General features: G+C 38.6%; 1 pseudogene across 1 annotated transcript in view; it reads right to left on the bottom strand.

The window, feature by feature from the left end:
- The window catches only part of TPTE2P2 (TPTE2 pseudogene 2), a 104,605-nt pseudogene that overhangs the window by 62,397 nt on the left and 19,163 nt on the right, over nt 1–23,045 (bottom strand). The window contains exons 7-10 of the transcript XR_007063808.1: nt 16,639–16,701; nt 10,380–10,430; nt 8,695–8,856; nt 2,111–2,230 (exon numbers count right to left, since the gene is read on the bottom strand). The product of XR_007063808.1 is annotated as a TPTE2 pseudogene 2 (transcript). The remainder of the gene's footprint in view (nt 1–2,110; nt 2,231–8,694; nt 8,857–10,379; nt 10,431–16,638; nt 16,702–23,045) is intronic.

Genomic DNA, 23,045 nt, shown 5'->3' on the forward strand with positions numbered 1-23,045 from the left:
CAACTGGTGTGCTTGTGTGTGTGTGTGTGTGTGTGTGTGTGTGTGCGCGCGCATGCATGCGCTACTTCCATCTAATGGATAGAAGCCAGGAATTCTGCTAAACATCCTGCAATGAATATAACTGCTCACCACCCTCCTATGACAATAATGATCTGGCCCAAAATGTTAGTAATGCTGAGGTTGAAAAATTCTGGTCTAGAGAAATAGTGAAACAATAGAGTCTTAGAATTTGTAAATTTAATGTTGGGATTTGAGACTAGCATTTTCAATTTTTCCACATCAAAACAAATTGAGGATTCTTGTTCACCTTTGTTACTCCCATCTGTAACAGAGGTTCACTACAGCTGCTAATGCACATTAGGCAGGCAACAGATTGAGATACTTCCCAAGTGTGCTAGCTGGTATCTCTCCTACCGTCAGAAACATCAAAGCAGATAACTGATGGTCTGGACTAGTGCTTATCTGGTTTAAGCATGCATAAAGAAGAGTCATCTGGAAAAGCGTGTTAAGCTACAGATTGTTGGATCCCAGAGATATTGATTCAGTGGGTCCAGGGTGGGGCCTAAGGTATTTTTCTTGTATTTCTAGCAAGCTCTCAAGTGATGCTGAGGTTTCTAGTCAGAGGACCACATTGGCTGAGGTGATTTTCAAACAACTCCAAAAGCCTATCACTTAACATGCTTAGTTGGTGCCTGAGTTGTAGTCCAGGGAAGCTAGGGTACAGAAAGAAACCCGGTATTTGACCCATGAACAAGCTTAGGAAGCCACAAACATCTCCATCCCAGTATACGTTTGCTCTTCCATTTTCCTCATTGTCACAGTAGAAAAGAAGAACAAAAAGAGAGTCACCAGGTCCTCATACACCCTTTAGTTTCCTAATCCCTAACAGTTCTAACTTTGCCTTAGCTTTCTTTGTTTCTACCACAACTATACTGCAAAACTCTACTGTTGTGTTGCTATACGTGTCATCTCCTAGTTTTCTGTTCTGTTTTCTATTTCTTAGAACATCATGATTGAGGCTGGGCACGGTGGCTCATGCTTGTAATACCAGTACTTTGGGAGGCCGGGGTGGGCAGATCACTTGAGGTCAGGAGTTCAAGACCAGCCTGACCAACATGGTGAAACTCGTCTCTACTAAAAATACAAAAATTAGCCAGGTATGGGGGTGCATGCCTGTAATCCCAGCTACTCGGGGGGCCGAGGCAGGAGAATCACTTTAACCGGCGGGGCAGAAGTTGCAGTGAGCCCGAGATCATGCCACTGAACTCCAGCCTGGGCAACACAGTGAGACTCCATCTCAAAAGAAAAAAAAAAAAAAGGAAAAGAAAATCGTGATTCATGGACACAGGAAGGGGAATATCACACTCTGGGGACTGTGGTGGGGTAGGGGAAGGGGGGAGGGATAGCATTGGGAGATATACCTAATGCTAGATGACGAGTTAGTGGGTGCAGCGCACCAGCATGGCACATGTATACATACGTAACTAACCTGCACAATGTGCACATGTACCCTAAAACTTAAAGTATAATAAAAAAAAAATTAAAAAAAAAAGACCACTAAAACTAGAAAAAAAAAAAAAGAAAGAAAATTGTGATTAAAGTCACTCAAATTTTGCATATGCTCAAATAAATTCCCTCTTGGCTGTGGGAAAAACCCAGAGAGAACATTATGTGTAAGGGATTTGTAGTTGAAGCACAGAGGGGAATTGTTTTTAATATCAAATTTTTTTATGTATCACATATGAAACTAATAAGAATGTCACACTTGATCTTAGCCAAAAGGCCAAAAATGATACAAATGGGAATTTGACGAGAACTTCAAAATGTAGTGAAGTTAAAGTTAGTACAGGAAGTAAAGTCCTTCTTTGGCTACTCCATCTTTTTTATTCAATGAATGGTACTTGGTGTGTATACTCTTCACTGGTCCCTAAGTATCACAATCTTTTAGTTTCAACCTATGTGGGAATTTACCTAAACATTTCATTTTAAAGCAACATATTTGGTATAAAATGAGCCATTTGAAGTTGAAAAGATTATACAGAATAAAAGCCACAGAAAATGCAAAAAGTAAATGAAAAATTTTAAGAGAAGTGAGTCTTATATTTCATACCTGGGAATATCCTTAAGAAACTTAACGTCAAAAAAAATGTAAACGACATCAACCAGCAGAATAATCACAGTAACAGCAGTATCTAAAATGTTAAGTAAATCAGAAAAATAATGCTGTCTCCTGTAATATAAAACAGAAAAATATGAGTTCATCTCCCCTGCAAGAAGAGATAGGAATATTTAAAGACCACAACTATTGACTGATCCCCATTAAGAATTCTACTTTCATACATTATTTAAAATGCATTTTCTAGAGTAGACTAAGGGAAAAATATAACATTCATGGGAAGTTTTCAAACAATAAATTTATATTCATCATTTGACACATATATATAACTAAAACACCAATATGGCAATTTAAGTATAGCAAGACATATAATTAAATGCATATTAACCACCCTTATCATAGATGATGAGGTATCTATCCCCTCAAGCATTTATCATTGTGTTACAAACAATCCAATTACACTTTCAGTCATTTTAAAATGTACAATTGTTATTGACTATAGTCACCCTGTTGTGCTAGCAAACAGTAGGTGTTATTCATTTTTTTCTATTTTTTTGTACCTATTAACCATCCTCACCTCCCCACCCCCAACCTCCTACTACCATTCCCAGCCTCTGATGACCATCCTTCTACTCATGTCTATGAGTTCAACTGTTAACCCTTTTAGAGCCCACAAATAAGTGAGAACATGTGGTGTTTGTCTTTCCGTGCCTGGCTTATTTCAGTTAACGTAGTGATCTCCAGTTCCATCTATGTTGTTGCAAAAGGCAGGATCTCATTCATTTTTATAGCTAAATAATACTCTCTTGTGTATATGTACTATATTTTCTTTATCCATTCATCTGTTGATGAACACAGGTTGCTTCCAAACCTTGGCTCTCATGAACAGTGCTGCAACAAACATGGGAATGCAGGTATCTCCTCTATCTACTGATTTCCTTTCTTGTGGGTACATACCCAGCAGTGGGATTTCTGGATCATATGGTGGCTTTTAGATTTTTTGAGGAACCTCCAAACTGTTCCCCATAGCGGTTCTACTAATTTACAGTCCCACGAACAGTGTATGAGGGTTCTCTTATCTCCACATGTTTGCCAGCATTTGTTATTGCCTGACTTTTGGATATAAGCCATGTTAGCTGGGATGAGATGATATCTCACTGTAGTTTTCTCTAATGATCAATGTTAAGCACCTCTTCACATGCCTGTTTACCATCTGTATGTTTCCTTTTGAGAAATGTCTATTCAAATCTTATGCTCATTTAAAAAAATCATAGTATTAGATTTTTTTCCTATAGAGTTGTTGGAGCTCCTTATATATTCTGGTTATTTATCCCTTGTCAGATGGGTATTTTGCAAATATTTTCTCCCATTCTGTGGGCTGTCTCTTCACTTTGTTAATTGTTTCCTTTGCTATGAAGAACCTTTGTAACTTCATGTGATCCCATCTGTCCATTTTTGCTTTGGTTACCTGTACTTGTAGGGTATTGCTCAAGAAATTTTTGCTCAGACCAATGTCCGGAAGATTCTTCCCAATGTTCTCCTGTTATAGTTTGAGGTCTTATCTTTAAGTATGTGATCCATTTTGATTGGATTTTTATATAAGGTGAGAGGTAGGGGTCTAGCTGCATTTTTCTGCATGTGGATATCCAGTTTTCCCAGAACCATTTGTTGAAGGGACTGCCTTTTCCTCAATGTATGTTCTTGGCAAATTTGTTGAAAATGAGTTCACTGTAGGCGTGTGGATTTGTTTCTGGGTTCTCTATGCTTTTCCATTGGTCTATGTGTCTGTTTATGCAAGGGCCATGCTGTTTTGGTTACTATAGTTCTGTAGTATAATTTAAAGTCAGGTAATGTGATTCCTCCAGCTTTGTTCTTTGTGATTAGAATAGCTGCTATTCTGGGTGTTTTATGGCTCCATATAAATTTTAGGATTTTTTTTCTATTTCTGTGAAGAATGTCATTGCTATTTTGATAGGGAGTGCATTGAATCTGTAAATTGCTTTGGATAGTATGGTCTTTTGAACAATATCGATTCTTCCAATCCATGAACATGGAATCTCTTTCCATTTTGTGGTGTCCTTTTCAATTTCTTTCATCAGTGTTTTATCGTTTTAATTATAAAGATCTTTCACGTCTTTGGTTAACTCTTAGATTTTTAATTTTATTTCTGGCTATTGTAAATAGGATCACTTTTTAAAACTTTTTCAGATGGTTCACTGTTGGCATATAAAAATACTACTGATTTTTGTATGTTGATTTTGTATCCTGCAACTTTACTGAATTTATCAATTCTAATATTTTTTTGTGGACTCTTTAGTTTTTTCCAAATAAAATATATCATCTGCAAACACAAGGATAATTTTACTTCTTCCTTCCCAATTTGGATTTGTTTTTATTCCCTTTATTTCTTTATCTTCTGTGAATGCTCTAGCTAGGACTTCCTGTACTATGTTGAATAACACTGGTGAAAGTGGGCATCCTACTTGTGTTCTAGATCTCAGAGGAAAGCTTTTCCATTGTTCCCCACTCAGTATGATACTGACTGGGGATCTGTCATATATGGTTTTTATTATATTGAGGTGTGTTATTTCTTTACCCAGTTTTTTTAGAGTGTTTATCATGAAGAAACGTTGAATTTTATCCAGCACTTTTTCAGCATTAACTGAAATGATCTTACAGCTTTTATCCTTTATTGTGTTGATATGATGTATCACTTTGGTTGATTTGCATATTTTGAACCATCCTTGCATCCCAGGGATAAATCCCATTTGTCATGATGAATGATCCTTCCAATGTATTGTTACATTCAGTTTTCTAGTATCTTGTTGAGGATTTTTGCATCAATATTCATCAGATATATTGGCCTGTTTTTTTTTTTTTTTTTTTTTTTGAGACAGAGTCTCACTCTGTCACCCAGGCTGGAGTGCAGTGGCATGATCTGGGCTCACTGCAACTTTCATTCCCAGGTTCAAGTGATTCTCATGCCCCAGCCTCCAGAGTAGGTGGGATGACAGGCACCTGCTACCATGCCCAGCTAATTTTTCTAATTTTAGTAGAGACAGGGTTTCACCATATTGGCCAGGCTGCTCTTGAACTCCTGACTTCAGGTAATCCACCTGCCTCAGCCTCCCAAAGTGCTGCGATTACAGGTGGGAGCCACTGCTCCCAGCCTGTTTCTTTTTTTGACGCATCTTTGTCTGCTTTTGATATCAGGGTAATACTGGCCTTGTGGAATGAGTTTGGAAGTATTCCTTCATCTTCTGCTTTTTGGAACAGTTAAAGCAGGAGTGGTATTCGTTCTTCTTTAAATGTTTGGTAGAATTCAGCAGGGAAGCCATCGGGTCTCAGTATATATATTGGCTATATATGTTGGATGAATATATACTTAAAATTGTTATAGCCTCTTGCTGAACTGATCCCTTTATCATGATATAGTGACATTCTTTGTCTCTTCTTATCGTTTTTGTCTTGCAATCTATTTTATCTGATACAAGGATAGCGACTCCTGCTCTTTTTTGGTTTCTACTGGAATGGAATATATTTTTCCATTCCTTTATTTTCAGACTAATGGGAGAAGAGTGTTTCTTGTAGGCAACAGATCGATGGGTCTTTTGTTTTTTGTTTTGTTTTGTTTTTATTTTTATTTTTTTGAGGTGGAGTCTCACTCTGTTACCAGGCTGGAGTGCAGTGGCACGATCTCGGCTCACTGCAACCTCCGCCTCCTGGGATCAAGAGATTTTCCTGCCTCAGCCTCCTGAGTAGCTGGGGCTACAGGTGTGCACCACTACGCCCACCTAATTTTTCTATTTTTAGTAGAGACGGGGTTTCACCCTGTTGGCCAGGATTGTCTCCATCTCTTGACCCTGTGATCCACCCGCCTCAGCTCCCCAAAGTACTGGGATTACAGGTGTGAGCCACCGTGCCCAGCCGGGTCTTGTTTTTTCATCCATTCAGCCATTCTGTCTTTTGATTGAAAAGTTTAGTCTGATGACATTCAATGTTATTATTGATAAGCAAGGACTTACTCCTGCCATTTTGTTAATTGTTTTCTGGTTGTTTTGTAGTCTTCTCTTCCTTCTTTCCTTCCTGTCTTCCATTAATGAAGGTAATTTTCTCTGGTGATATAATTTAGTTTCATGTTTCTTATTTTTTGTGTATCCCTTGTATTTTTTTGGTTTGAGGTTACCATGAGGCTTGCAAATACTATCTTATAACCCATTATTTTTAAGCTTATAAAATAAGTTTGCATAAACAAACAAGTAATAAGAAAACTAATACAAACTCTACAACTTAGTCTCACTACTTTTTAACTGTTATTTCTATTTATATCTTATTATACCATTTATGTCTTGAAAAGTTGTTATAGTCAATGTTTTTGATTGGCTCATAGTTGTCTCTCTACTTACAATAAGAGTAGTTTATACACCATAGTTACAGTGTCGTAACATTCTGTATTTTTCTGTGTATTTACTATTACCAGTGAGGTTTATACCTTCAGGTAGTTACTTATTGCTCACTAATGTCCTTGTCTTTCTGATTGAAGTACTCCCTTTAGCATTTCTTCTAGGACAGGTCTGGTGTTGATGAAATCCCTCAGCTTTTGTTTGTGTGGAAAAATCTTTCTTTCTCCTTCACTTTGAAGGATATTTTCACTGAATATATTGTTCTAGGGTAAATGTTTTGTTTCCTTCAGCATTTTCAATATGTCATGTCACTCTCTCCTGGCCTGAAACATTTCTATTAAAAAGTCTGTTGCCAGCTGTATTGTAACTCTATTGTATATTATTGGTTTCTTTTCTCTTGTTGCTTTTAAGATCCTTTATCCTTGATCTTTGGGAGTGTGATTATTAAATGCCTTGAGGTAGTCTTCTTTGAGTTAAATCTGCTTGGTGTTTTGTAACCTTCTTGCACTTGGATACTGATATCTTTCTATAGGTTTGGGAAGTTCCGTTACTATCCCTTTGAATAAACTTTCTAACCCCTCTCTCTCTGCACCTCCTCTTTAAGGCCAGTATCGCTTAGATTTGCCCTTTTGATGCTATTTTCTAGATCATGTAGGCATGCTTCATTGTTTCTAATTCTTTCCTTTGTCTCCTCTATGTATTTTGAAATAGCCTGCCTTCAGGCTCATTAATTCTTTCTTCTGCTTGATCAATTCTGCTATTAAAAGACTCTAATACATTCTTCAGTATGCCAATTACATTTTTTGGCTCCAGAATTTCTGCCTGATTCTTTTTAATTATTTCAATCTCTTTGTTAAACTTATCTAATAGAATTATGATTTTTTTATCTGTGTTATCTTAAATTTATTTCTGTTTCCTCAACACAGCTATTTTGATTTGTCTGAAAGGTCACGTATCTCTGTTTCCCCAGGATTGGCCTCTGGTGTCTTATTGAGTTCATTTGGTGAGGTCATGTTTTCTCGGACAGTGTTGATGCTAGCAGATGTTCTTTGGTGTCTAGGCATTGAAGAATTAGGTATTTATTGTAGTTTTCCCTGTCAGGGCTTGTTTGTACCTATCTTTCTCAGGAAGGCTTTCCAGATATTGGAAAGAACTTGGATATTGTGATCTAAGTTGTATCTGCTTTAGGGGGCACCCCAAGCCTCCTAAACTCTGTGGTTCCTGCAGACTCATAGTGGTACTGCCTTAATGGTCTTGGACAACATGCAGGATAATTCTCTGGGTTACCAAAAAGAGAGTCTTGTTCTCTTCCCTTAATTTCTCCCAAACAAACAGAGTCTCTCTCTCTGTTCTGAGCCACCGTGACACAAACACCCCTGTGGCCACCGCTACTATGACTGCATTGGGTCAGACGTGAAGCCAGCACAGCACTGGGTCTTGCCCAAAACCTGCTGTAACCACTCCCTAGCTATTGCATAAGTTTGCTGAAGGCCCTGGGGCTCTACGATCATCACATGGTAAAAACAGTCAGGCCTGTGTCCTTCCCTTCACGATGGCAAGTTCTCCCAGGCTCCGGGTGGGTCCAAAGGTGCTGGGAATCAGGGCCTAGATCAGAAACTTATAATTCTACCTGGTGTTTTATGTGCTATAGCTGAGCTGGTTGAGCTGTCACTCAAACCACAAGATGCAATCCTCGCTACTCTTTCAACCCCTCTCCAAAAGCAGAGGAGCATCAATCCATGGCCACCTCACTCAAACACAGACCATGGGGGGTACTGCCAGACTACCACCAAGGTTCTCCTAAGGCCCAAAGGCTTTTAAGTCAGCTTGAGTTGAATGCTCCTGTTAATTATTTTAATATGCCTCTTTTTTTTTGGGACGGAGTCTCACCCTGTCACCCAGGCTGAAGTGCAATGGCACAATCTCGGCTCACTGCAACCTCTGCCTCCTGGGTTCAAACAATTCTCCTGCCTCAGCCTCCCGAGTAGCTGGCATTACAGGCTTCCGCCACCATGCCCAGCTAATTTTTGTATTTTTAGTAGAGACAGGGTTTCACCATCTTGGCCAGGCTGGTCTTGAACTCCTGACCTCGTGATCCACCTGCCTCAGCCTCCCAAAGTGCTTCTTAGAAAAGTACAAAATAGCTTTATGCATTATAAAAATAATCAAACTTACCCTTCTACAAATACTCGAAGAAGAACATCCATGAGAAAAAATAAAGCAATAGCTAGAGAAATAGAATGATACTCCAAAGGAATATAAACTTTGCTATCAGTGAAAATTAGGTCAGCAAAGATCAGAGCCACATCCAACAAGATCAGGAAAACTCCAAATATTCTACAACAAATAAATAAATGAATAAATAAGTAAGTAACAACAAAGATAAAGGGGCTTTTGTCCCTATAGTTATACTATATTTAGGCCAATGATCGGGTACCAAAATGTTATTATTTAGTATTAAACTGCCCAGTGGCAGGAAAAACTGTAATGTCATAGAATCTCAGAAAAATCACTGTTTTCACCCAATAGAAGCAGTTCTTAATAAATAAAATTCCCACCAAACCACTTCACAAGACGTTATCATGCCCTTTTATAGCAGATCCATCAGACTAACACCTCAAGAGAGAAAAGTGAAACTGAACTAAAATTGCCTGTGTCTGTTTGTAAACTCTTCTTAAAATTTGAGAATTTCATAAGAAGTTTACACCCATTTCTCATAAAAAATAAAATCTTATTAATCTGGATAATTCTTAAGGATTTATTAATAAAAACCAAATGAAAGCATGAGTAACATAAGCTCTTAAAAGACCAAGATTTTTTTGTCAGTGACATTTTCAGCAAGTACATGATTACATATTTATGGGCGATTCTAGTACAGTGATGGGTACATGAGAAAGAATTCAATTCCATAAATATTTATAGTATTGAACTCTAAGGTACCTCCTGAAACTTGCTGTTACATATTCTAAATACATTCCCCATAAATTGATTATACTATTTGCTTAATCTATGAAGATGAATTCATCTTCAAAGTACTTTTCAAAAAGTTGCAGCTCAAGTTAAAATATCATTAATTCAAAAGGAAACAATTATATTGCGTAAATCTATATCATATTGCGTAAATCTATATCATAGTATGAAATCTTACTCTTACGTAGAGAAGAGTCTGAGTAAATTGTTTCCAGAATTAAAGAGTAATTCTAGATGTATAAGGTACTTAATAAAACACTTTACTTATAATTATAGAATTTTATCATTCGATTTTCATTAACTTTACTTGTGCAGATGGAAGAAAAATAATATTAATATGTTACTATTAATCTTATACAAAAGCCGTTTCTTTGCAAGTCTTAAAGTCCAGCTTAAACCAAATTTCCATGATAAATTAGATTACATTAGATGGGGCACATGGCTACTTAGAAACCGATGGACAGGAAATGCTTTTTGGTTTTGTTTTTTATTTCAGTCTTTCTCATTGAAAGAGCGAGATATATATATATCTCGCTCTGTCACCTGGGCTGCAGTGCAATAGTGTGATCTCAGCTCACTCCAATCTCCGCCTCCCAGGTTCAAGCGATTCTTCCACCTAGGCCTCCCGAGCAGCTGGCATTGCAGGCACTCGCCATCATGCCTGGCTAATTCTTTTATTTTTAATAGAGACGGGGTTTCACCGTGTTAGCCAGGCTGGTCTTGAACTCCTGACCTCAGGTGATCCACCTGCCTTGGCCTCCCAGAGTGCTGGGAGTACAGGCGTGAGCTACCGCACCTGGCCAAGTCTCAGATATATTTAATACGTGGTGTTTTTTATGCATTAAGTCTCAGGTATATTTAATACATGGTGTTTTCTATGTCTCACATACCCAACTGCAAAGGATGACACAATTGAATGAACAATTTTCTTAATCCTGCTGCTGCAAAAACAAGCAAAAATAAAATCAATCAGATTTCTTCTAACTTATAAATTTAACCAAAAAACAAAGGCCTTTATAAATACAATTTTAAAAGAAAATTATTCAGAAGTTGTATAACAAAATGCTTTTTACTAATAATTAAAATTTTATCTTTTCTGCTCCATGAGTATTTTACTTTCCTATCCAGAATATATGTGAATAAGACAGTAAACTTTGGATGTTTAGTAATATTTCCATTGCATGCAAAGCCCCAACTCCAACTTTATGGCAATACTAAGCTTAAACTTGTGGTCATCAACTCAAGGAATATAGCATGAAAAAAGAAAAGAGGGGTAGAAGAGAACTGTATTTTAATGCCAGCCTGGGCAAGTCATCAAACTTTGGCCAGATCTCAGTTTCCACAGCAATAAAATAAGGTATTTCAGGGATGAGCATAGGGAGTAAATGATGCTCTTGTCATCTCTTTCCAACTAGACACCTAGTGAACAGATACACATTAGTGACAGTTGCCTTTGAGGTGGCATAGGAACTGCAGCGGTAAGACATTTTAGTAAGATACACTTCAAAGGAGAAACACCTGAAAGACTGGGCTCCTTCCATTAATCCAAGAAAGGAGAACCTGTTTGATGGAGCCCCCAGTAATGCCTCATTTTACCTTATGGCTGAAGACAAGGTAGCTGATGAGGAACAATTTTTTGTCCTACTGAAGCCTTCAGGAAGTTTCTATCATACTGAAGCCTCCAACACAGGACTCAAATTTCACCCCAAGAGGCACGAATCCTAAGACAATGCTCACAGCCTGTGCCTAAGACTGGAGAATAAAAGAGGACAGACACTGAGGAGAACTGGGGCACTGCCAAAATTGGCCTTCGACATGAACAGACATTTCTCAAAAGAAGACATACATGTGGCAAAGAAGCATACGAAAAAAAGCTCAATATCACAGATTAGAGAAATGCCAATCAAAACCACAATGAGATGCCATTTCACACCAGACAATAGTCAGAATGGCTATTATTAAAGTGTCAAAAAATAACAGGTGCTGGCAAGGTTGCAGAGAAAAGGGAACACTTATACACTGTTGATGGGAGTGTGAATTAGTTCAACCATTGTAAAAAGCAGTATGGCGACACCTAGAAGAGCTAAAAGTAGAACTACTATTTGACTGAGCAATCCCATTACCTAGTATATACCCAGAGGAATATAAATCATTCTACTGTAAAGCATATGCATGTGAATGTTCACTGCAGCACTATTTACAATAGCAAAGACATGGAATCAACACAAATACCCATCAATGACAGATTGGATAAAGAAAATGTGGTACATATACACCATGGAATACTATGCAGCCATAAAAAAGAATGAGATCGGCTGCGCACGGTGGCTCACGCCTGTAATCCCAGCACTTTCGGAGGCTGAGGCGGGCAGATCATGAGGTCAGGAGATCAAGACCACCCCAGCTAACACGATGAAACCTCGTCTCTACTAAAAATACAAAAAAAATTAGCTGGGCGTGGTGGCGGGCGCCTGTAGTCCCAGCTACTCGGGAGGCTGAGGCAGGAAGAATGGCGTGAACCCAGGAGGAAGAACTTGCAGTGAACCGAGACTGTGCCACTGCACTCCAGCCTGGGCAGCAGAGAGAGACTCCGTCTCAAAAAAAGAAAAAAAGAATGAGATCCTGTCTTTTGTGGGAACGTGGATGGAGCTGGAGGCTATCATCCTTAGCAAACTAGTGCAGAAAGCAAAAATCAAATACTGAATGTTCTCATCTGTAAGTGGTATAGCTAAGTGATAAGGATGTAAAAACACAAAGAGGGAAGCAAACACTGGGGTCTACCTAAGTGGGGAGAGTAGGAGGAGAGAGACAAGCAAAAAGGATCACTATTTGGGTACTGAGCTTAATACCTGGGTGATGAAATAATATGTAAAACAAACCACCCTGACACATGTTTACCTATGTAACAAACCTTCACGTGTACCTCGAAACCTAAAATAAAAGTTAAAAAAAGCAAAATTGGCCTCTGATGAATGATGTTAGGTTAACCTGAGATAAAGGAAATCCCCAATCCTTCTAATCTTCCCCTCATCCACCTGGACCCACCACCTCTACCCAGGCTTAGAAAGTTAAGGCTGATGTAGACAGAGGATCAGTTGGCCAAAAGAGGCGAATTCTCTCCGGAAGTTGCCATTCTCTTTTTACAAGAACCTCTGATCCCACACAGTCTACTGGATCTCTGGGTATCAAGGAAATGTCATCAATCTGAATTCACTTGACAATATCACCATACAGAACCAAGCCTGATAGATCATGAAGGCATGAAGGAGTGGCTTGGGTGGCTTTAGCCCCTTCAATCTGTTTCAGTGTCCCCTGAAACTGTACCAAGTAAATATACAATTGAGACTTATTTTGGTTAAAAAAGTGTACTATGTAAATGCAGCTTCAAGCAGTTACATGCAGAGTTTGCAGGGAAATAACTATGACTCAATATATCCATATCCAGGAAAAGTACTGTTCACATTTGAGAGCAACAGACAGACACTCCAACATGCAGCAACTCAAAGCATAGCCTCTATGTGCCTTTCCTAAAAATAATTACTCCAAGTGCTTGAGTCAGCGGAGCAATGAATCAAAATGAAGAACAGAGCAATAAGGAACATGACTTATAGAGAAAAGATGGTAAATAATATAAACTCAGAAGTAAGTCTAAATAACAACTGTTAATGTAGCATAAAAATGTAGGTGAAAATGTAAATAAACGATTCTAAAAGTAAAGATAATATAAAATTATCAATAATAGTATTGATTTAAATTTTAGGCATTCTTACACTAGGATTCAAGGTTTGGAAGAAGATAGAAGTAAAGGCAGATTGCATTTCTTATCTTCTACAGATACAAGTCCAGTTTTATTCTCGATATTGATGGAGAAAAATGGTATAATTATGTTTTCTAAATATTTAAATATAAACTGATGGACTAGAAATGGGCTTCTGACTTGCCTATCAGTAAAAAATGTAAGGGATAAAAACAAATCAATTACTAGCAAAATATAGAATAATTTAAAAAGAAAATATCAAAGTATTTTTCATAAAGAAAAAGACAATAAAGCCAAACATACCAGAAATCATAAATACAAACATATTCCTCCCATATTCCATGAGAAATACACTCAGATAACTTTAAAATCAAAGGCATTACATGCTATACACAAGAGACAAAAACTAAATTTAAATGACAGTTTAAAAATAAAGAGATAGAGGCCGGGTGTGGTGGCTCACACCTGTAATCCCAGCACTTTGGGAGGCTGAGGCGGGCAGATCACGAGGTCAAGTGATCGAGTCCATCCTAGGCGACCCCCCATCTCTACTAAAAATATCAAAAATTAGCTGGGCGTGGTGATGTACACCTGTAGTCCCAGCCACTCGGGAGGCTGAGTCAGAAGAATGGCTTGAACCTGGGAGGTGGAGGTTGCAGTGAGCCAAGATCATGCCAGTGCACTCCAGCCTGGCCACAGAGTGAGACTCCGTCTCAGAAAAAAAAAAAAGAGAAAAAGAAAAGAGAAAAAGACTTGAGATACTAAACCTTAAAACACTATAAGTTCCAATATTAATATCAAAGTGGAATTCAAAGCACAAATATTAACTATGACCATGACTTATTTTTTATCAATAGAAGGTGGAAGCTACATGACACTAACAAGACCATTTTTAATGAAATGGGATTCGTATCAAGGGCAGGTGCTATCTCTCCCACTGGACACATTTTTCTCTGGTACAGACTCTGGCGGTACGGAGATGGCCATGATGCAAAGCAATGAAAACACTGTACTGACTCTCTGGTCTTCCTGATCTCGCTCTAGATCACTAAAACAGGGTAAGGACAATACAGGGGGATGATATTTTGATGCTGTGAAAACTATTAGTCACACAGGAGAAAAGTAAATTTCTACACTTTATGCCTTAAGACAAAGTAAATTCAGGGCAGCGATTTTATTTAAATGAAGAAAATAAGCTCAAAACAGAAATCTTGGTGAATATATTTAAAATCTTGGGGTAGAGAAGGACTTTCTGAGAATAACATTAAAGGCATAAATCACAAAGAAAAGTATAGGTACATTTGATTATATGAAGATTCAACACTTTTATATAGTGAAAAGCAAGACACCCTGGGAGAAACTACTTATATTACATAAAATAGAAAAAGGATCAACAGATTTAACTTTTCAGTCCAAAGACAGAAAAACACCCCAATTTTAACTGGCCAAAGGTAGTTTGGAAATGATGAAATATTAACCGAAAAAAGCATAAATGAAGGTATGTCAAAGAATGTGCATTAGAACAAATAGATTTACTAATATCAAAGAAATCAATGACAGCTAGCGTTAAGTATGGGAGGGGAGAAATGTACACTTTAGCATCTTGATGTTCAAGCACTTATCAATACCAATAGCATCATAATCATTCCCTTTGACACAGGATTTCCACTTCTGAGAATTTATAATAAGCAAATAACCAACGATATGCAAAGATTTAGCCTCAAATATTTTTTGTAACAGTAAAAACTTGTAAAAAACTTAATTGTTCAGCAATATCTGACTATTAAATGAATTATAGCACATCTACACCATGCAGTATTACAAAACTATTACAAATAATGTTGTAAGTGCACATGAATATACATTAACAAGAAAATATAGATATGATGTCATTAAGTAATAAGGTTATTTACAAAAGAATATAAGTATGGTCTCGTATCTGCAAACAAAAAATGCATATGCTTAAAGAACTCAGAAGTGCATGTATCAAAGTTTAAGAATGACTGCATGTGGGCAGATTTGTTGATTGGATTTTCTGATTTTCCTTTAATAAACTCTCACATTATTTTCAGTTTTTCGCACAAAACCTATTCACAGAGCTACAGAGTTTTCAAAGTGTTTTTGCATGTTATTTTAGTTTTATTACTAATTTTTTACAATACAATATCCACTACATAGATAGCATTATAACCAGTTTACATTTGAATAATCTAAAACTAAAAGAGGTTCAATGACTTCCTGAGTATCAGATGAATGAATACATGATGTCAAAGCCAAGCACTGATTCCAGCTTTTACTATAAATCCAAGATCATCCCCCTGGTATGAAACACCAGTGTTTCTCACAGGGACTACTACCAATTCCTCCTATATTTATGCAATGAGACTTTGTAACTTAAAAATAAAACAAAACAAAAACCTGCTTTCTTTTGTTTGGAGAGGGGAAAGAAAAAGGAAATGCTTGCCTTGCTCAATCTGTCTAATTTTGCCTCAACCCTGGGCAGCTCCATTACAGAAAATGTATAGCTAGTATGCAGACACACAGTTTAATTAAGTGGTGCCGTGAATTCTTCACTGATGGCCCATGATAAAAATTTCTAGAAAATGAAAACTCAGGGTAATTTGAAGAACTATTTGTATTTGCCCTCTGTTTCCCATGTAATCTTTGTTTAGACACCAACAGCTTATAACCATGATGAGTTAACTTCCTCTATGGCAGCACTTCCTCTCCAACATTGACATAAGCTGGTGAATGGTTATACAACTGGGCAAGAAAGAAGCAGAAGAAAAATCTCCTGAATATGTCTGCAGTTCAGACACAAGCCAGTTTAAGAATGTGTTGTTTCGTTACAGTGAGTACATGGTAAAATGCCTTCAGGTCAGTGCAATAGGAGTACTCAGTACTCTAGTGAGATTAGAAACAAATAATAACAAAATCCCAGTGAGCATAAAGAGGTCTTTAGTCAGCAAAACATGTTTGCTTTTGCTATCAATACCACTTGCTCATAGGTGAAATCTACAAAACTGGGAATCGCACAATATCCAGTAAAAATGAGAAAGGTTCACTATTGATGAGTAAGTAACATTCTGCATTCCTGTTTTCTTTAAAAAAAAAAAAACTTCTAATGAAGTTAATTTCTTCTAAGGATACTTTTTACATTTTCAAGCTAGAAGAACATTTATTCCTGAATGGATGGAATTTTTTTTCAAAATAATACTTGTCTAAGAATTCAATTGGAGGAAATATGGTGTACTCTCCCACCCACACACCCATACATTTTGATATCCTTCCGTAGTTTCCCTTTTTCCTTTGTGCCTCAGCGTAAGCCCTGTTCAACTAAAGAAAAGAGATCCATCAATGGCTCCCTCCTTTCAAACTTCAAACTGACTTACTCATATGAAGCGACATATTCAGCATTTTCATAATCTTCAAACCTGGAAAGTCGTTCTGACACACTTTAGCCACCAAAAAAATGCAAAAATATATCATTAGATATTTGCTACACAAAACAGTGATGAAGAATTTATTTGAATAACAAGAATTCCATGAATCTAAAGGATATAGTAAACATGACTTAGCTCACTGGAAGACCTGACATTTAAGAAAGAAAATTACAGTCATTAACCAGAAACTATTCTCACAGATACTCCCAACGCTGAATTTTGCATATTTTTCTCTTCTTTTCTCTCTCTGTCTCTTTCTATATATGTATATAAAGGTAATTAAAAGAATATGTATATAGTTATAGAATACATAAATGTGTATAGACATATCACAAAGACATTGTGGGTTTCATTCCAGACCACTGCAATAAAGCAAAAACTGCATTAAGTGACTCACACAAATGTTTTGGTTTCCCTGTGCATATAAACGTTATGTTTATACTACACTGTAGTCTGTTAAGTGTGCAACGACATTATGTCAAAAAAAATTATGTACATACCTTAAAGTAAAACTACTTTATTGGTTAAAAAAATGCTAATGATCACCTGAGCCTTTAGCAAGTCATAATCTTTTTGCTGGTGGAGGGCGTTGCCTCCATGTTGATGGCTGCTGACTGATCAGAGCTGTGGTTGCCAACGGTTGGGGTGGCTGAGGCAATTTCTTAAAATAAGACAACAACGAACTTCACTATATCAAATGACTCTTCCTTTCACAGGTGATTTCTCTGTAACATGTGATGCCATTTGATAGCATTTTACCCACAGTAGAACTGTTTTCAAAATTGGAGTGAATCCTCTCAAATCCTACCACTACTTTATCAACCATAGTTTACTTATATAGAATGAGTTAGGAAGACTTTCCTCTGCTTTAATTTTTTGAAATAGTGTAAGAATTGATATTAGTTCATTTTTAAAAGTAGGTGGAGTTAAGTGGTGAAGTCATCAGATCCTGGACTTTGTTGAAGGCCTTTTTGTTCCTGATTCAATCTCATTACTTCTTTTTGGTCTGTTCAGGTTTTCTATTTCTTCTTGGTTTAGTCTTGGCAGGTTGTATGGGTCGAGGATTTTATCCACTTCCTCTAGGTTTTCAAATTTATTGTAGAGTTGTTCATAATAGTCTCTAATAATCCTTTTTATTTCTGTCATATCTGTTGTGAGGTCCCATTTTTTCTTTCTGATTTTATTTATATGGGTCTTCTCTTTTTCTTAATTAGTCTAGCTAATGGTTTGTTGATATTTTTAAACCTGCTTTTTGTTGTTAACCTTTTGTAAATTTTGCCTGAATTTTGTTTATTTCTGTCTGGTCTTTATTATTCAGTTCCTTTTAATAATTTGGGATTTAGTTTGTTCTTACCATACTAGTTTCTTGAGGTAGAATTGTTAGGTGGTTTATTGGAAATTTTTCTAGTTTTTTGATCCAGCCATTTATTGCTATGAACATGCTTCCTAATACTGCTTTTGCTGTGTCCCTTATGTTTTGGTAGGTTGTGTTTCTAGTTACAGTTGTTTCAAGGAATTTTTAAATTTCATACTTAATTTCTTTCTTCACTCCTTGTCACTCAAGAGCATGTTGTTTTATTTCCATATATCTGTATAGTTTTGAATGTTCCTCTTGTTATGGATGTCTAGTTTTATTCCATTGTGGTAAGATAAGATACCTGATATAATTTCAGTTTTTAAAAATGTGTTGAGACTTGTTTTGTGGCCTAACATATGGTCTATCTTGGATAATGTTCCATGTGCTGATGAAAAGAATGTATATTCTGCAGCTGTTATGTGAAACGTTCTGTAAATGTTTGTTATGGCCATTTGGTCTATGGTGCAGTTTAAGTCTGATGTTTCTCTGTTGATTTTCCATCTAGATGATTTGTCCAGTGCTGAGAGTGGGATAATGAAGTGCCCAACTCTTATTGTAACGGGTTCTAGCTCCCTCTTTAGATCTACTAATATTTGCTATATATATCTGGGTGCTCTGGTGTTGAGTGCATACATATTTAAAATTATATTATACACATATTACAATTATGTTCTATTTCTTGCTAAATTGAACCCTTTATTATTACATAATAATCTTGTGTGTCACTTTTTATGGTTTTTAACTTAAAGTCTGTTTTGACTGATATAAGTATAGCTATTCCTGCTCACTTTTGGTTTCCATTTGCATGGAATATCTTTTTCCATCCCTTCATTATCAGTCTATGTGTTTCTTTAGAGGTAAGGTGAGTTTCTTTTAGATAAAATATAGTTGGGTCTTATTTTTATTATTATTTTTTGAGACAGAGTCTCGCTCTGTTACCCAGGCTGGAGTGCAGTGGCACGATCTCAGCTCACTGCAAGCTCTGCCTCCCGGGTTCATGCCATTCTCTTACCTCACCCTCCCGAGTAGTTGGGACTACAGGTGCCCACCACCACGCCCAGCTGATTTTTTGTATTTTTAGTAGAGATGGGGTTTCACCATATTGGCCCGGCTGGTCTCGAACTCCTGACCTCCTGATCCGCCCGCCTCGGCCTCCCAAAGTGCTGGGATTACAGGCGTGAGCCACTGTGCCCAGTTGGGTCTTATTTTTTAATCCACTCAGCAAGTCTATATCCTTCTTGGGGTATTTAATCTATTAACATTCAAAGTTGTTATTGGTAGGTGAGGAGTTATTTGCGACATTTTATTGTTTTCTGGTTGGTTTGTATATGTTTTGTTCCTTTCTGCCTCTCTGTTTACTTTTGTAGTTGGGTAGTTTTCTGTAGTGATAAGGTTTCATCCCTTTCTCTTTCTATGTATTGACTCTATCAGTGGCGTTTAAAGTTTTACATGTTTTTATGATGGTGGTTATCATCTTTTTACTTCCAGAAGTAAGACTGCCTTGGGCATTTCTTGTAAGGCTGGTCTAGTGGTGATGAATTATCTTGGTGTTTGTTTATCTGTCACAGATTTTATGTCTCCTTCATTTGTAAAAGATAGCTGCACTGGGTATAATATTCTTGGTTGAAAGATTTTTTTTTTTTCTTTCAGAACTTTGCATATATCATCCCATTCCTTTCCAGCCTAAGGTTTCTGCCGGGAAATCAGCTGTTCGTCTAACGAGAATTCCATTATAAGCGCTTTCAGGCTTTTCTCTTGCTATCTTAAAAAATCTTTGTCTTTGTGTCTGGGTTGAATGTATTTGGGGTTCTTTGATCTTCCTAGAACTAGATGTCTATCTCTCTCTCTTGAGTTGGGAAGTTTTATGCTATCACTTTATTAAATATGTTTTCCTCACATTTCTCTTCACTTTTCCTTCTGGAATGCCCATAATAGGAATATTTGTTCAAATTAACAGTGTCCAATAAATCCTGTAGGCTTTTTTCATTATTTTTTATTCTTTTTTCTCTGCCTGTGTTATTTCAAAAGACTTCTCTTCAAGTTCAGAAATTACTTCTTCTGCTTGTTCTTGTCTGTAAAGTCATTGATTTCATTTTTTATTTCTTCTATTGAACTGTTTAGTTCTTAGGGCTTGTTTGGTTCTTTTTATGATATCTCTATCTTTACTGAATTTCTCATTCAAATCATGTTTTCCTGATTTCATTGACTTGTCTATCTGTATTACCTATATCTCACTGAGTTTCCTTAGGATTATTCTTTTGAATTTTTTTTCTGGCATTTCATATGTTTATGATTGGGGTCCATTACTACATAATTATTATTTCCCTTTGTAGGTGACCTGTTTTCTTGCATTTTCATGGTTGATGTGTTTCTATGCTGATTTCTATGCGTCTGGTGAAAAAGTCACCTTTTCCAATTTTATGGAGTAGGTTACTTGTATGAATTTATTTGTATGAATGGGTCTTGGGTGTCAGTTCATTGGGGTATATTGGCCTTGGTTCTACATGGATGCAGTAAAGTGTAGTCTCCATATAGTTCATTCCGCTGTGATCCACACTAGTAACATTTGCAAGTTTCTCAGTGGCCTAGGCTAAGGAAGTTTGTGGTAATGGTGGTGCAGCTTTGCCAGGGGTGGGCTCTCTGGACTGTTTCTCAGGGTAGAGGTGTATGCAGGTATACAGTGGGTCAGAAAACTTGGAGTATGGCTTTGTGGGGCTGGCCATGGTGCTGTTACTCTGGCCAGGAGCATGGGGATGCAGTTGCTCAAGCCCAGGATGCAGGCACACAGCTGTTTGCCTGGCCTGGAAGCACGCACTCCAGGAGTGGCCTGAAGGGCTGTTTCCCATGCCTGGTATGTGGATACACAGCTGTTCATCTGGCCCGAGGCCAGTCTGCTGGGGGAAACTCATGGGCCAAATATAGAGCTGCACGGCTACTAAGCTGGACCGAAGGCATCTTTGCCAGGGCTGGCCAAGAGGGGGTGTTTCTCAGGCCTGGGATACAGTCAAATAATTTCTCAGCTGTCCTGGATGTGGGTCTGCTAGGGGTAGTCCACAGGGCTATTCTAGCTCAGGATGTGGGCACACTGCTGCTCAGCTGGCCTGGGTGGTGCCTGCCAGGGGAAGCCCAGGGGGCTGCTTCTATGACCCAGGATGTGGGCACAAGGCTGCTTGGCTGGCCTAGGGGCATGTCTTCTGGGAGTAGCCCATGGGGCTCTTTCTCAGGTCCAGGACATGGGCATTCATGGCTGATTGGCTGGTCTGGAGGTGCATCCGCTGGGAATGGGTACAGGAATGTTTCTCGGGCTCATGAAAGGTTGCACAGCTGCTTAGTTGGCCTGGGAGTATTTCTGCGGGGGGTGGCCTACAGGGCTGTTCCTCAAGCTGGGACATAGGTATGTGGCTGCTTATTTGGCCTGAGGGTATGCTGGCCAGAGTAAGCTCCCAGGGTTGTTTCTCAGCCCTGAGACTCAGGCACACACAGCTGCTTGTTTCTCAGGTCTGAGACACAGGTTCAAGGCCCACTCAGTGCTGTGCCTGCTCGCGGCAGCCTGTGGGACTGTTTCTCAGGCCTTTATTAAAGGCGGAGGGCGGCTGGGCAGGTCAGGAGCATGTCTGTGGTGGATGAGGCCTGCAGGGCTGTTTCTCAGGTCCTGAGCATGCACTCATAGTCACTCTCTTGACCTTGGGGTATATCAGCTGCTCAGAGGCTTAGGGGACGCTCCCACTTGAGAGAAGGCATGTAGTGGTTTGGCTAGCTCAAGGGTGAGTTCACCCTGGATGGGAGTGCAGATTGTTTCTCTGTCTGGAAGTGTAGTGGTGGGGGTTGATTTCTCCCTGCTCTTCAGGACTTGAGTTACCGCCAATTCTGGGACCAACCTCCACACAGCTGGGGTTGTGGCTTTAACCCACCCATGTGGGCTTGGTATACTGAAGGTAAAGCTCCAGTGCTGGAGACGCACAGTGGCTACTGGCCCCCAGAGTAGGGCACACTCAAGAGATGACTCTGGTCTCAAGATGGTGCTGTGTTGCTGCAACTTAGGTCTCTGGGGGTGGGAAGCCTTCACCTTGTACTCCTAGTCCAGGACATGCAGCTGTGTAAATTCCTGGCAGTACTCCATACTGGCCTCAGGGCTTGCAAATACTGTGAGATTTTCCTTAAGACTCTGTGTTTGTGATGGCAGTGGGGCTGGTGGGGATCTTCTGCTTACCTTCACTCTGCAATGAGAAGTCCTTCCTGTCTCTGGGCCAGTTCAACCCAGGTGGGGGAGAAGGGACTGCAGAGGCTGAGTGCTTCCATGCTGTGGGGCCTTCCAGTCACCACAGGTGTGTCTCCTCCACTCCTTTGCTGCGCTCCAGGACTATCCCTTTGATACTCTAATCAGACCTTAGATGTGTATTTGTTCCTGGGTTTTCTTGCAGGGGAGATGAGCACAAGGCATCTCTAGTCACCCATCTTGCTTGATTTAGCATAACTCGTAAGGGCCCTAGGATTTTCAGAACAGTCAATGATCATTGGCCTCAACTTAAAGTCACCAGTTTCATTCGCCCCTAAAAGAGAATCGGCCTGTGCCTTGAAGCTTTGAAACCATGCATTGACTTCTCTCCAAATATAAAAGTCCTGGATGGCATCTTCTTCCAATAAAAAAGGCTATCTTGTCTACAGTGAAAATCTGTTGTTTCGTGTAGCCACCTTCATCAATTGTCTCAGCTACATCTTCTGGATAACTTGCTGCTGCTGGATAACAGCACTTGCGTTTCACCTTGCACTTTTATGTTATGGAGATGGCTTCTTTCCTTAAACTTCATGAACCAACCTGTTAGCTTCAAGCTTTTCTTCTGCAACTTACTTACCTCTCTCAGCCATCACTGAATTGCAGAGAGAGGGGGCCTTGTCCTGGATTAGGCTTTGGCTTAAGGAAAGGCTATGGCTGCTTTGATCTTCTATCCAGACCGCTAAAACCTTCTCCATATTAGCAATCAGCCTGTTTTGCTTCCTC

Source organism: Homo sapiens, chromosome 13 (genome assembly GCF_000001405.40).
Source record: "Homo sapiens chromosome 13, GRCh38.p14 Primary Assembly".
NCBI classification, from domain to species: Eukaryota; Metazoa; Chordata; class Mammalia; order Primates; family Hominidae; genus Homo; species Homo sapiens.